Here is a 13525-nt window from a genome sequence, read left to right as displayed (position 1 = left end):
GTATGGAATAAATAGCATCTTCCGTAGGGTTAGAGGAATGAAGGTGGTCCCCAGGGCTTTGTGTGCTCTTAGTAACCAACTCCTTCCCAAGCCTCCAATCAACCTCAGTAGAAAGGGAAAGGGAGCCCCAGAATTCTGTGTGTTCTTGGAAGGAAATCCCTCCACAGCAGTCCCAGTCTCACCACTACACTCTTCATGAGAGACCACTGGGACTGACTGCATGATGCCTTACATTCTGCAAGACCCCCAGGACTTCCAGCTCCTTGTGGAACCCCTACTCCCACAGCCAACTGGCTCTATGCATCTCCTGCTCTGACCCAATGTCTTTCCCCTTTCTGATTTCTCTGGAACTCCAGATAAGTCATTAGCCAAGACCCTGTATCTCAAACTCTTCTTTGAATGTTCCCTGCAACTTCATGCTCTATACTTCCTCTCGTGATTTATAGCTCTTCCGACAGCTTCCATACCCTTTGTATCACAGAGCCTGGAAGTAGACGCAATTGTCTCCTTGCTCCACAGCTATATTCCTTCCTGAAAATATTATCCTCTACCCCTCCTTGTTGCAGTCATTTCCTGATCCCTGCATTACTTCCCTTCATTTCTAGATGTTAGCTCCTGGTTTTAACTCTTTCCAATGCTACTTCTGCCATAATTCTCAGCGATTTCAACATTCATGTCTGTGATCATTCTAATACCCTGGCCTCTTAGTTCCTTGGGCTTCTGTCCTCCAATGATCTTGTGTTCCCACATGCCTCAGCCACCCACCGTCCTTTACCAGCTGACATCCCCTGATTCATCACTCTAAACACTGCTCTCCATGTAGCAAGCAGACAGGAAGCTAAATCCAGCTGGAGGAAAACACGCAGCTAAGCTAAGTGCTTTTACTTAAAATTTGTTACCAGTAATGTCAACTGGGTCCTTAGTGCTACCTGGCAAGTCTGCTGTTTCCCAAGTCCAAACATCCTCTGTTGCCTTGAAGTCTCCAAACCTCCTGCTTCCCTAACCTAGTCTTAGTTGAAGAATTTGCTTCCTTATTGAACTGAGAAAATAGAGGCAATCAGATAAGAGCATCACAGGCTTCTACCATCATATTTTCCAATATACTTACAGCTGAATCTGGATAGTTTGTCTTTACTCCTGCAACGATGCCTGATTTGTCCATGCTCCTATTGAAGGTCAACCCTACTTAGCTCTAGGTTTCATGCTCTCTTATCTACCCAAGGACATTGCTCTAGCAATTGTCACCTCTCTTATGCATCATCAATGATCTCTTTCTACTAGATTATTCTCATCATCATACAAGCATGTCAAAATATATCTAGTCTTAAGCTAAAAGAAAAAAAGAAATCTTCATTAAACCCATACAACTCTCCAGCTCCTATTCCAATCCTCTGCCCCTCTTTCAAAAAAAATTCTGAAAATGTTGTCTCTATTCACTGCTCCGAGTTCTTTTCCTCCCATCTTCTGTTGAACCCATGCCAATCAGGCTTTTTCTCTACCATCCTTGATGCTTTTCAAGATCATCAATATTTCTACATTGCCAAAGCCAATGATCAATTCTCAATTCTCATCTTAATTAATACATGAGCGTTTGACACAGTTGATCACTTCCTTCTTTTGGAAGTCCTTTCTTCATTTGGCTTCTAGCACATCTCACCCTCCTGGTTCTCTTTCTGCCCCATTGGCCACTCTTCTCAGTCTCCTTTGCTGGTCTTTACTCTGACCTTTAAATGTTGGAAGACCCTAAAAATTATCCTGGGACTGAGCTCCTCTATCTAATAACTCACTGGCTTGGTCTCGTCTTGTCTCTTGGCATTAAATACCATGCAAATGCCTGACTCCCAAAAAAATATATTCAGGACCTCTTCCCTGAACCCCAGACTTGTATATCCAACTGCTTATTTAACAATTCCAATCAAATGCCTAATTGTTGTGACAAATATAAAATGTTCAAAGCTGAACTACTGACTTGCACTCCCATAGTTCCTCCTTGTATGTTCTTCCTAAGTTTGGTAAATGAAAACACCATTATTCCAGTCTTTTAGACCAAAAACCTTGAGCTCATTTTTTTTTTTTTTTTAACTATTCTTTCCAGTGGTGCGCTGGTAAATGGATAATAGCAGTCTCTCATCTCTGAAGGGTGGGAAGTAGGAGAAGGCCTACTTCCTTGTGTAAACACTCCCGATATTGTCGATTTCTAGCTATAAGAATGGGCCCACTAAGTGGTCCTTGGAAACAGCACACACAAAATCAATTAAACCCCAATTTTGCATTCTGCTTATTCAGTCATTCTGTGTAGTTCCAACTTTGGGAGAAGTAGTTACAAGAACTCGAACCACATTCTTCTTTCTTTATAGAAAATAATAACTTTCTACCACATGAAGCTAGGTGGCTAAAGAGATTATCATAAGAAGCAGGAGAGTAATGGTAGCATGCAGCTTATAGGGAACATTTCCTATGACATTCTCAGTAACAATTTGTTCTCCAAAAAATGGCTAATTGCAAATATTTGATAAGTTGTTAAAAGTTTTCCCCAAACCTCCAAACCCTAGGGAAGATAGAGTGTTCCCAGGCCAGACAAAAACCTTTTAACCTTAAGTCCCTTAAACATAAATATGTTGCCAAGATGCCGAGTGGATATTTAAATCATCCACTTCCTGTTTCAGTGCTATCTCTCTGTTTTGGAGAAGGACCAAATATGTTTCATTCCTTTTGGCACTGCTTTCTTCATTTAAAAACGATTTATACTTTAGGGGTTTTGACTCCAGGAAAAAAAAATAGCACATATTTTGGATGTCACATTCTTAATGTTTTGACCCTTTCAAACAAAAACACACTATTCTGTAGCCAGTGGGGTGAGAGAACCAGATCGGGGTAGAACATGTCCAAATGGGCTTCTAAGTAACAAGTAAAGAGGGAAAATTGGCCCACCTACAATAATTTGTTTAGGAAACATTAAAAATAGCCCATTAAAGACACAGATTTTTACTAGATCGCTTGTAAATAGTTTTGTTTAAATGTAATTTAAGAGCATCTATCTAAGTATTTCCATTGTGCCTGAGTTATCAGTTAATTAAACTTCAAGTGTGATGAAAACACATCCAGGACTAGTTTTAGGAGACTTTCACTAAAATGAAGAGAGCTAAACAGAAGATTCTGAATGATGTATTTTGGACAGGGAGGGTTCTTTGAAGGTCCTCAACTAGCATAAGGATTGGTGAGATGTGAGCAGGGATAATTTCGGAGTATCCTGAATAGCTTTTTAACACAGTCCACTACCATTAGCCTGTATAGTTTGGAAAACTGTCCAGTTGATTCTGATTGTACTCCAGACCCCTGCCCCCAGTGAAGACTCCCTAGTGAGGCAGGATAATATTAGAAGTGTTAGTACAGTGTCAGTAAACAACCCTTTCTTCAATTAATTGAATTCAGTTCGATTCAGCATTTGTTGAGCCTCTGCTTTGTGTTTGATGCTGTGTTCGGCACTAGAATTGAGGGCAGGATATACAAGGATCAATAAAAATTGTTCTTGCCTTTTAATGAAGTAGGGAGATGAGAGTAGTAAACCCTATTGGTCAGATATAATACACGGAGGTTTGTGCTGTGGCAACCCAAAAGGAGAACCATTTATTCTCACTGGGGCAATAAGGAAGTGGTGGAGGTATATGAGCTGAACCTTGAATTATGGATTAATTTTCAATCAGTACAGAGTGAATGGAAAAGCATCCAAGACCAATGAAACAATTTGCCTGGCTGACAGCACATGTTGATAGACATGTGCTTGGGAAAATCTGTAGGCAACTTGGGTGGTTGGCCATTCCTCCATGGCCCAGGAGTTGCCAAGAGGCTAACTCCCACACACCTAGCTGCTGCATCGTCAGCTAAAAGAGGATGGGAGGCATTCTCAGACTGAGAATGCAAAGGCTGAGCACAGAATGAAGGCTTGAGCAGGCCTCACAGGTAAACTTTGGGTTTTATGAAACTGCTGCCGTTTCAAAAATTGGCCCACACTCATGTGGGTGCAGAGAAAGAGAAGATCTTCAGCTATCATGGGAGAAACCCTAAAGATAAAGTCAATGGTTTGATCCTCTGATGGCCAGTTCAATGGTTGTTGTAGCTCTCTCCCCAGGGAGCCATCACACAGGGGACACTCTTGTCCCAGGGTGCTAGGCAGGAGGATATTGACTCTTTGAAAAACAGCATGCATGTACCCTACTAATAGTGAGCTCATAATACATATTCTTATACATGAATTATGATATAACTAAATAAAGGGCAAATAGATCCTCCATCAGCTGTAATCTGCCAGGTGTAATCTGGCAGTTCAAAGGTGTACCAGAAACTGGAAAAATGTAGGAAACACTAATTAAGACAGCTGAGAGTAACCTATTGGCAGATTTGCTATCTCCGACCACTGATTTATTTCATATGAGTAGGATTTAAGTCAATTCACTGAAAATGCAGGATTGGACCAGTTGGGTTGATTAGGCAGCAGTTGGCAACTAGTCCCAATATGTTCACTTTTAGTAAGCATTTATGATCCTTAAGTTTATGCTACCTCTGAGAATAATATTAATCAACTTAAATACTTTTATAAAAATTCAATATCTACAAAGTGTTTTGGTGACCTTACTATTTCTGTAAGTCATCCAAGATTCCTTTTAAAAGTTTATAGTCTTTGGTTTTCTAAATATTGTCAAAAGATGGGGGAAAAACCCTTAAACTCAAGGGTGTTCTTGTGGAATTTGGCTCCCATGTCCCATTTCTGTCTGTATAGCTTAATTTTTTTTCTAGCAATGAAAATATGTTCTCATCACCTCTGCAATACAAAGCTGAATGTTGGCTCACAGCCTTTTGTGATTGTGAGTAAGCCGTCAAGGCATTAATATTTTAGGGCTCCAAAGTTGATTTGAGGGAATTTTAATCTTATTTTCTTTGTTTTCCAATGTGACTACCCTAAACCTCTCTTTTCATGTTGGAAAATAAAAAATGACAGATATGACTAAAACTGACAATAAAAACATACACAATTATACCTTGCTGAATGCACATTTTGTTCTAGATGGAGTTCTCCTGGAAAAGACATGAGCAGAATGTAACAAACATATCAGCTTAGTTAAAACTTTGTGGCTACAAGAGGAGGGAACTGATATTTATCCAGCCTCAACAGGCAGTGGCTAAATTATTTATATTATTTCATTTAGTTCTTATAACTCCCACCCCTCACCCCTATCTTTTAATGGATGAGGAAATGGAAGCGCAAAGGATTCAATATTTTATCTAAGTTCTCACAGCTAGGACAGACCCAGTGACTTTTGTATTACAATGAAGTTCTCTCTTATGCATCAGTTCTGACCCGTCAGCTTCAGCTGCCCAAAATACTACATTAAAAAGAATTTTAAAACCATAAAAATTTAAAAGAATTTAAAACCATGATTCATTAGCAAGAGCCCATAAGCAGGATTGTAGTACGTATACTACCTGTGTCCCCGGTATTGTACTACAGTGTCTCTCATGAACTTTTACTGGTAATTTCAGCTTAAAAGTAGGGTGCTGGGAGGAATATAAAATCCTCATGGATTCTAGCCTTCATATTCTTTCCTTAGTAAATATAGATATTCTATGAGATAGTCTCTCCCCTGGTTGTACTATTTTCTTAACATTAGTTTATTTTCATCCTAAAATATTCAACTACTTTTTTATCCCTTGGCAATGAGCCCCTCATCACCTAAGAGTTGGCTCAGCATTGTCACCAATGTTATACTGTTGAAAATTTGTTTTAAAATACTTCAGTGCAGACAATATATGTAAATTAATTCTAATCTGCACCCTAGGAACTGTTAGCATATGAAGGACTCTAGTCAGGAGTACACACTCCAGAAAGCCTAAGATTGATGTTTTCAATATCATTCTCTAAATCCTGAAGGTCTGCAAATTGGCATAAAGGACAGAGAAATAATGCTTCACCAGGCAAATGAGTGGGTGTTCAATATATGTGATTGGATTGGATAGAAAGACTTATTCAGGCATCTCCATCCTTGTGTGTACAGGGATTAAGAAATCTGACAAACCCAGCATTCAGAGGCGTGCCATAGATCTAGGATTCTATTCAGGCCTGTGCCCATTTAATGAAACTTTCTGGCCTGACTAGAACATGAGCTGGCTCTGCCATTAGAATATTGTAACTTTTGCCAGGGAGTGGATCTTTTGCTTAAAGTGCAAAAGCACTTGTCAGAGCACTTTAAAAAATAGAATGGGGGCCAGGTGGTGGCTCATGCCTGTAATCTCAGCACTTTGGCAGGCCGAGTTGGGAGGATCACTTGAGCCCAGGAGTTCAAGACCAGCCTGGGCAACATAGTGAGACGTTGTCTCTACAAAAAGTAATTAAAAAAAAAATTAGCCCAGCATGATAGCACATGCCCAAGGCCCCAGCTACTCGGGAAGCTGAGGTGGGAGGATTGCTTGAGCCCAGGAGTTGGGAGCTGCAGTGAAACATGATTGCACCACTGTACTCAAGCCTGGGCGACAAAGTAAGACCCTGTCTCAAAAAAAAAAAAAAAGATGGAATGGGGACTTTACCAAATGTATGGAACAGGCTTTGTAATTGTTTTTATGCCTATTTGTTTCATGTGTGGCAGAATTTAGTCTCTGAGACTTGTTTCCATTGTAACATATCACCTGGTATTGAGGTTATCTGGGAGGAAATGGTGCCTACATCTAAAAATTGGAGATAATCGGCCGGGCACGGTGGCTTACGCTTGTAATCCCAGCACTTTGGGAGGCCGAGGCAGGTGGATCACCTGAGGTCAGGAGTTCAAGACCAGCCTGGCCAACATGGTGAAACCCCGTCTCTAATAAAAGTACAAAAATTAGCTGGGCATGGTGGCGGGCACCTGTAATCCCAGCTACTCAGGAGGCTGAGGCAGGAGAATTGCTTGAACTAGGGAGGCGGAGGTTGCAGTGAGCTGAGATCGCTCCACTCCAGACAACTGTGAAGAGGCAGATTGGCTTAGGTCATTTCATAACACCAGTTATTATGAGAAGTCTAGTACAGACCTCTTCTTCCTCCACCCTCTTCATGCTCCCCCATATTCCAGGGTTATTCACTGGAATGAAGGAAAATAAGCTGTTTAAGAGCCAGAACCCTACAATTCTAAGCCACTAGACTCTAGCCTGGGGGAGTGGGGTGAGGGTAGGAGCAATTTATCCTTCTTGAGTTTAGAAACTGGTCGGAGATGTAATTAAAGGCCCCCTGTAGCTAGTAATAAAAGGAAGTTTGACACAGAACAGTACTGATAGGGAAAAATAGAAATCATTTCTTCTTTATACCCCCAGTGAGTTGAGACTCCTCAATAAACCAGTCATGGTATCATGGAAAGAATGTTGCATGGTTGTGCCAATGTTTTAATAGATATAAAATCTGAGGTCTTCAGGTCTCATATTCTTCAAATCCTCAAGGAGCAATATTTCCATTTTTCCCATTACAAGACTCATTTCTATTTAAAAGGTTGAGCATGGAAAAATAGAAATTAGGACCAGGGGCTAAGTCCTCTGCCCATGATGATGCTTCTCCACTTGCATACAAACTGAGAATCTTCCTCCGACCACAGCTGTCATGTCTGAAATTACCTTCAAAGCTAAATCTCCACTAGATAATTTAATTTTCCTCAATTAATAATGCAATCTGAATGAATAAATAGGTGAAATTTGGGGGAAAAATGATGGCAATGGTTATTAAGATAGTCCAAGGCAATCTGTTTCATTTACTAGATCTACTCTTTGGGAGCCATGTTGTGACAGGAAAAACTACCAGAAAAAAATTCTCCTTTGACCACCATGTTACACTAATGGACAGATATAGAAAAATAAGTATTATAAAAATTCTAACAGGAATTTTTTTAACAGAAAAAAATTGTTGGCGAAGGATTGATAATATACACACAAGCAAACCGAGGCACTATAATTTACTGATTGCTCTCAGAGTCCAGAATTCTGAATCAATAACTTTAGACTTTTGGTCAATATGGACTAAGCAGATCCAAGAAGCATTTCTACTCTGCTTCAAATGCATAAATGTTGCAGAAAAAATAAGCAAAACATTTACAAACAACACTTAAATGAGCTTGTAAGCAAGAGAAGAACATCTCCAGGTTCCAGAATACAGAGGAAACTCAAAGACAGAGAAGTTGGCCTGAGTTAAGGGTATGATAGCATTCATTGGTAACACGGCAGAAAACTGGAACTGAGCGCCTGTGTAAAGCCACAAGCTAGAAAGGTGGCATTTCATCTACGAACACAAATGGAAACCCTCTACCCATGACAGCCTACTAATGAGGAAGCTAAACCGTGGGCTGGGGGGAGAAAAACCCCTTTTTGTGGGAGGGAATGGGAAGCAAATATGAACTATCTGCTTAGGAATTCCAGCCAAGACACTGATGTGAAACATGGCCTAGAACCAGTGAAACTGACAGGGCCTACCAAAGGCAAATGGGGAAACTATGCCATGGGGATGGCTCTGCAATGCAGGTAATGCCCTAAGACTTCTCAGAATGTTGACCCTTTGCTTACAACTCAGAGGAAGAGTTTTGGAAAATCTTCTTTGGGGCCGGGTGTGGTGGCTTACACCTGTAATCCCAGCACTTTGGGAGGCCAAGGAGGGTGGATTACTTGAGGTCATGAGTTCAAGGCCAGCCTGGCCAACATGGGGAAACCCTATCTCTACTAAAAATACAAAAATTGGCCGGGTGTGGTGGCACGTGTCTATAGTCCCAGCTACTCGGGAGGCTGAGGCAGGAGAATCACTTGAACCCAAGAGGCAGAGGTTGCAGTGAGCCGAGATCACACCACCACACTCCAGCCTGGGTAACAGAGCAAAAAGAAAATCTTTGGATAAACTTGTTCAAGAAAAAGGATCTAGAGATATGGGTATTTGGAGATTGCCATGGGAAGAAAGATAACTGGCCCATTTTCTGCCAGCCAGCACTCCTGAACCCATAGCTTTTAATCAGCTTTTTACTGCCTTGCTCCTATATATGGACAGACAGCCAAGGATCACCAGGATTCTGAGGGAAGAATGAAAGACAGAGACTAGCACAAATAATAGAAAACAGGAACACAGAGAAAACTCAGATAAGGCAGGGGCAGAAAGGCACTGAAAATATAAATGATATTTCCAGGGGCATAGAGAACTACTGTATCTATGAAAGAGGATCAGGATGTTATAAAAAGAAATGTTCAACAACAACAACAACAAAGAACCCTTAGAAATTAAAAATACTATGGCTAAAAACAATATATAGCCAAAGTTAAGGAAACTCTCAAAAATTAGAATAAGATACAGAAAAGTAGAATATAGTTAAGAAAATACAAAATCAGAGAGTTGGTTTAGGAGGTTCAAGCTCTCAATAATTCAGTGACAGAGGAGACTGTGTGTATCAGAACATGGGAAATGAGGAGAAGGAAATTATCACCAAAATTATATAAGAAAATTTCTAACTATAAGATGTGTTTTTCTGGATTGAACAGGCCCATAGTATTCAGAATGAATAAAAATCCACAAACTGTCTCATCTGGGCTTGTGGCCCCCACCCAGGAGCTGACTAAGCTCAAGAGGACAGCTTCTACTTCTATGATTTCATCTCCGACCCGACCAATCAGCACTCCCAACTCACTGGCCCCCTACCCACCAAATTACCCTTAAAAATTCCCATCCTGAGTTATCAGAAAGACTGATTTTAGCAGTAATAAAACTTTGATCTCCCCTACAGCCGGTTTTGAATGAATTACTCTTTCTCTATTGCAATTCCCCATCTTGACAAATCAGCTCTGTCTAGGAAGCGGGCAAGGAGACCCTGTTGGGAGGTTACAGTGCAGGTATGTTTGGGGAAGTTTTAGGAAAAATGATTTCCAGCCTAGAATTCTATGCCCAGCCAATAAATTAATCAAGTATGTCTTAAATCAAAGATACTAAAAACAATTAAGTTCTAAGAAATGTTGTCGTCCCTGGACGCTTGTTCAAGATGCTCTTAGATAATCTTCTTCATCAAAACAAGAGTATAAAGAAGGAGGAATAATGGGAACCAGGAAATGGAGGATTCAAATTTCAGCCCACATACAAAGGAAATTCCTTTCAGTCCTAGGAAGGAAATGCCTCAGATGACTGTGAAGTGAAGATTTAGAACAGCAAGCTGTGCACCAAACCTAGAAAATGCCAAGAAGTTTCCAGAAAAGTCTCTTTAAAGAAAAATAATTGACAAATTACCTGATGTGTTTGACTGTATTAAAAAGGGTTTGACATTCCTGTCAGATACCCTGGGGCAGGCATTAATGATAGAAAACAAACAGGTAAAAGAAACGAAGTCATTATTAAATCATGGGGGATAGTAGCAAGGAAAGTGGTAATATAGAAAGAAAATGTAATCATAGTATACTATGTGGTAAGCTATGAAGTATTCATACAATTATTATAATATTGAAAGTATGGGGAAGATGCCGTATTGAACGGGGAGATTGTATGAATGTACTAAATCCTTATCTCCAACAGTAGAAAGGTAACAAGCAATGTCTAACATTAATGAAGCCACAGTAATCAAGACAGTTTGGTATTTGCAAGAAAAGACAAATGAATCTATAGAACAGAAAAGAAGCTATAGAAATAGAACCATGCCTGGCTGGGTGTGGTGGCTCACGCCTGTAATCCCAACACTTTGGGAGGCCGAGGCGGGTGGATCACCTGAGGTCAGGAGTTTGAGACCAGCCTGGTCAACATGGCAAAACCCTGTCTCTACTAAAAATACAAAAATTAGCCAGGTGTGGTGGCCTGCACCTGTAATCCCAGCTATTCAGGAGGCTGAGGCAGGAGAATCGCTTAAACCCAGGAGGCGAAGGTTGCAGCGAGCCGAGATTGTGCCACTGCACTCCAGCCTGGGTGACACAGTGAGACTGTCTCAAAAAAAAAAAAAAAAAAATTAGACCCACACCTATGCAGGAGATGAATGATTTTCAACAAGGAGTCAATACAATTCATAAAGACAAGGTTTTTTGACAGATTGTTCTGGAACAATTGGATAAATGAATGGGAAAAATGAAACTCAACTGCTATCTGACACCATACACAAATACTCATTCTACATGGACCACAGATCTAAACATAAAAACAAAAACTAAAAGTTTTTTTTAAATAGAAGATCCTTGCAACCTAGATAGAGTATGCAAATATTTCTTAAAGAGAAAAGAAAAAGAACTAGCCATAAAATTTTAAAGAATGATAAATGGGATTTCATTAAAATATAAAACTTTTGTTTATCAAAATACAGCATCAAGGAAATGAAAAGGTGAGCCACTGACTGGGAGAAAATATGTATTAATATAATACATATATCTGACTTGTATCCAGAAAGTATAATGAGCTCCTACAAAATAATAATAAACAGTTTAATTTAAAGATTGGGCAAGAAACGTGAATAAATCCTTCATAGAAGATATACATATGTTCAATAAGAACAAAAAATATGCCGAATATCATTTGTCATTAGACAAATGCAAAATAAGACCACAATGAGATACCACTAAACAACTACTAGAATTGTTTAAATTAGAAAGACTGACTACTCCAAATGTTGTTAAAGATAGGGAGCCACTGGAATGCTAATTTATTGCTTGTAAGTGTTAAAAACAGCATCACCGCAGTGAACAGTTTGGCAATTTCTTGTAAAGACAAACATGTACATTAGACTCAGCAATTCCACTTCTCAGTTTTAGCCAAAAGAAATAAAAACTTGTGTTTACACACACAAACACGGAAAAAGGTACTTGAATCTTACACAGATGGTCCTTGACTTACGAAGATTTGACTTTACAACAGTATGGAACTGTTGCAATTTCAGTGTACTTCAAATTTCAGATTTTGATCTTTTCTCTGGCTAGTGATATGCAGTACATAAGATTCAACATTTTATTATAAAATAGGCTTTGTGTTAGATAATTTAGCCCAACTGTGCTCTGAGCACATTTAAGGTAAGCTAGGATAAGCTGTGATGTTTCAGTAGGTTAGGTGTATTAAATGCATTTTCAACTTAAAATATTTTCAACTTACAATAGCTTTATCAGGATATAACCCCATCATAAGTTGAGAAGCATCTCTTGTATCTTTATTCATAATATCCCAAACTGGGAACGATTCAAATGACCATTAATAGGACAATGGAAAACAAGTTATGTATATTAATTCTATGAAATATTATTAAGTTTAAAAAATGAACTACTTATACATGCAACAACATGGATGAATCATAAAAACATTATGTTGCACAAAACAGACCAGATAAAAAATATATACTATTTGATTCCATTTATATGAATTCCAAGAATAGACACATGTGATCTATGGTGATAGAAATCAGAACAGTAGATGTGTAAGGTAGGCAATGTGGTAATGGAAATTGACATATATAGACAGATGTATATATATATGACATACACACACACACATATATGTTGACATATATATGGCAAACTTATACCTTATATATAGACATACATATATATATATATACTACACACATACATACACATATATATTACACTTAAAATCTGAATATTTCTCTGTGTGGAAATTTTGCTTTTTTACTTCAGTTACAAAAGTGACCAGAGAGAAAACATGAATTATATTGGCAGAAGACAGGACAGCAAGACTGACAGCCAACCTCTCCTAAATAGATGTGAGAAGAAAATGTAATAATATCTTGACTGGGTGTGGTGGCTCATACCTGTAATCCCAGCACTTTGGGAGGCTGAGATGGGAGGATGGCTTAAACCCAGGAGTTTGAGACCAGCCTGGCCATCATGGCAAAATAGCATCTTTTAAAAAAATACACGAATTTAGCAGGCGTAGTGGTGAGTGCCTGTAGTCCCAGCTACACGGGAGGCTAAGGTGGGAGAATCCCCTGACCCCAGAGGTCAAGGCTGCAGTGAGCCGTGGCTGTGCTACGGCACTGGAGCCTGGGTGACAGAGTGAGACCCTGTTTCAAAAAAGAGAGAGAGAGAGAGAGAAGAAAATGTGATTTCTTCAATGTACCAAGCAAAAATATTCTATACTCAGCTAAACGAATATCCAAGAGTGAGGTCTAAATTAAAAGTAAAAGCAAAAAGTGTATTTTTACAAAGTCTAAGAGCTTACAACCCAAAGTCACTCTCTAAAGGAACTACTAAAGAATAAGTTCAGCAAATAGGAATTTGAACCCAGAAATAGGGAGTGAGATGCTAGAAGCAAGGGTGAGCAAAGAAATCAACAAAATATATTGGTAGATTATTGTAACAATTGGCTGTTTTAAAAAAAAATGAATTTGTCAAGGTTTAAAAACGAAACAGATTATTAAACAATAATAGCTTATAGGATGAACACGGATAGTTTTGAGGGAAAATAAAGTTTATACTTTGTAATATATGCATATTAAATGTTAATAGAAATATTCTCTAGAATAGGGATGTATATAACCAAAACAGTAAAGACTAAAAGGGAATCAAT

At 39.1% G+C, this 13525-nt stretch overlaps 1 protein-coding gene and 1 long non-coding RNA gene across 33 annotated transcripts in view; one reads left to right on the top strand and one right to left on the bottom strand.

Annotated features, from left to right (window-relative positions):
* Positions 1-13525, top strand: part of LOC124901750 (uncharacterized) — a 224798-nt gene that overhangs the window by 29221 nt on the left and 182052 nt on the right. The window lies entirely within an intron of this gene.
* Positions 1-13525, bottom strand: part of CALD1 (caldesmon 1) — a 259231-nt gene that overhangs the window by 156066 nt on the left and 89640 nt on the right. The window contains exon 2 of one of the 29 annotated variants that reach the window (NM_001438783.1): positions 5037-5073. The exons of the other annotated variants lie outside the window; for them this stretch is intronic. The gene's annotated coding sequence lies outside the window, so the exon portion shown is untranslated. The remainder of the gene's footprint in view (positions 1-5036; positions 5074-13525) is intronic. 29 annotated transcript variants of the gene reach the window in all.

The sequence above is a fragment of the Homo sapiens genome, chromosome 7 (genome assembly GCF_000001405.40).
Source record: "Homo sapiens chromosome 7, GRCh38.p14 Primary Assembly".
NCBI classification, from domain to species: domain Eukaryota; kingdom Metazoa; phylum Chordata; class Mammalia; order Primates; family Hominidae; genus Homo; species Homo sapiens.
Note: the sequence above shows the minus strand (reverse complement) of the source record. Positions and strands in the feature narration are given on the sequence as shown.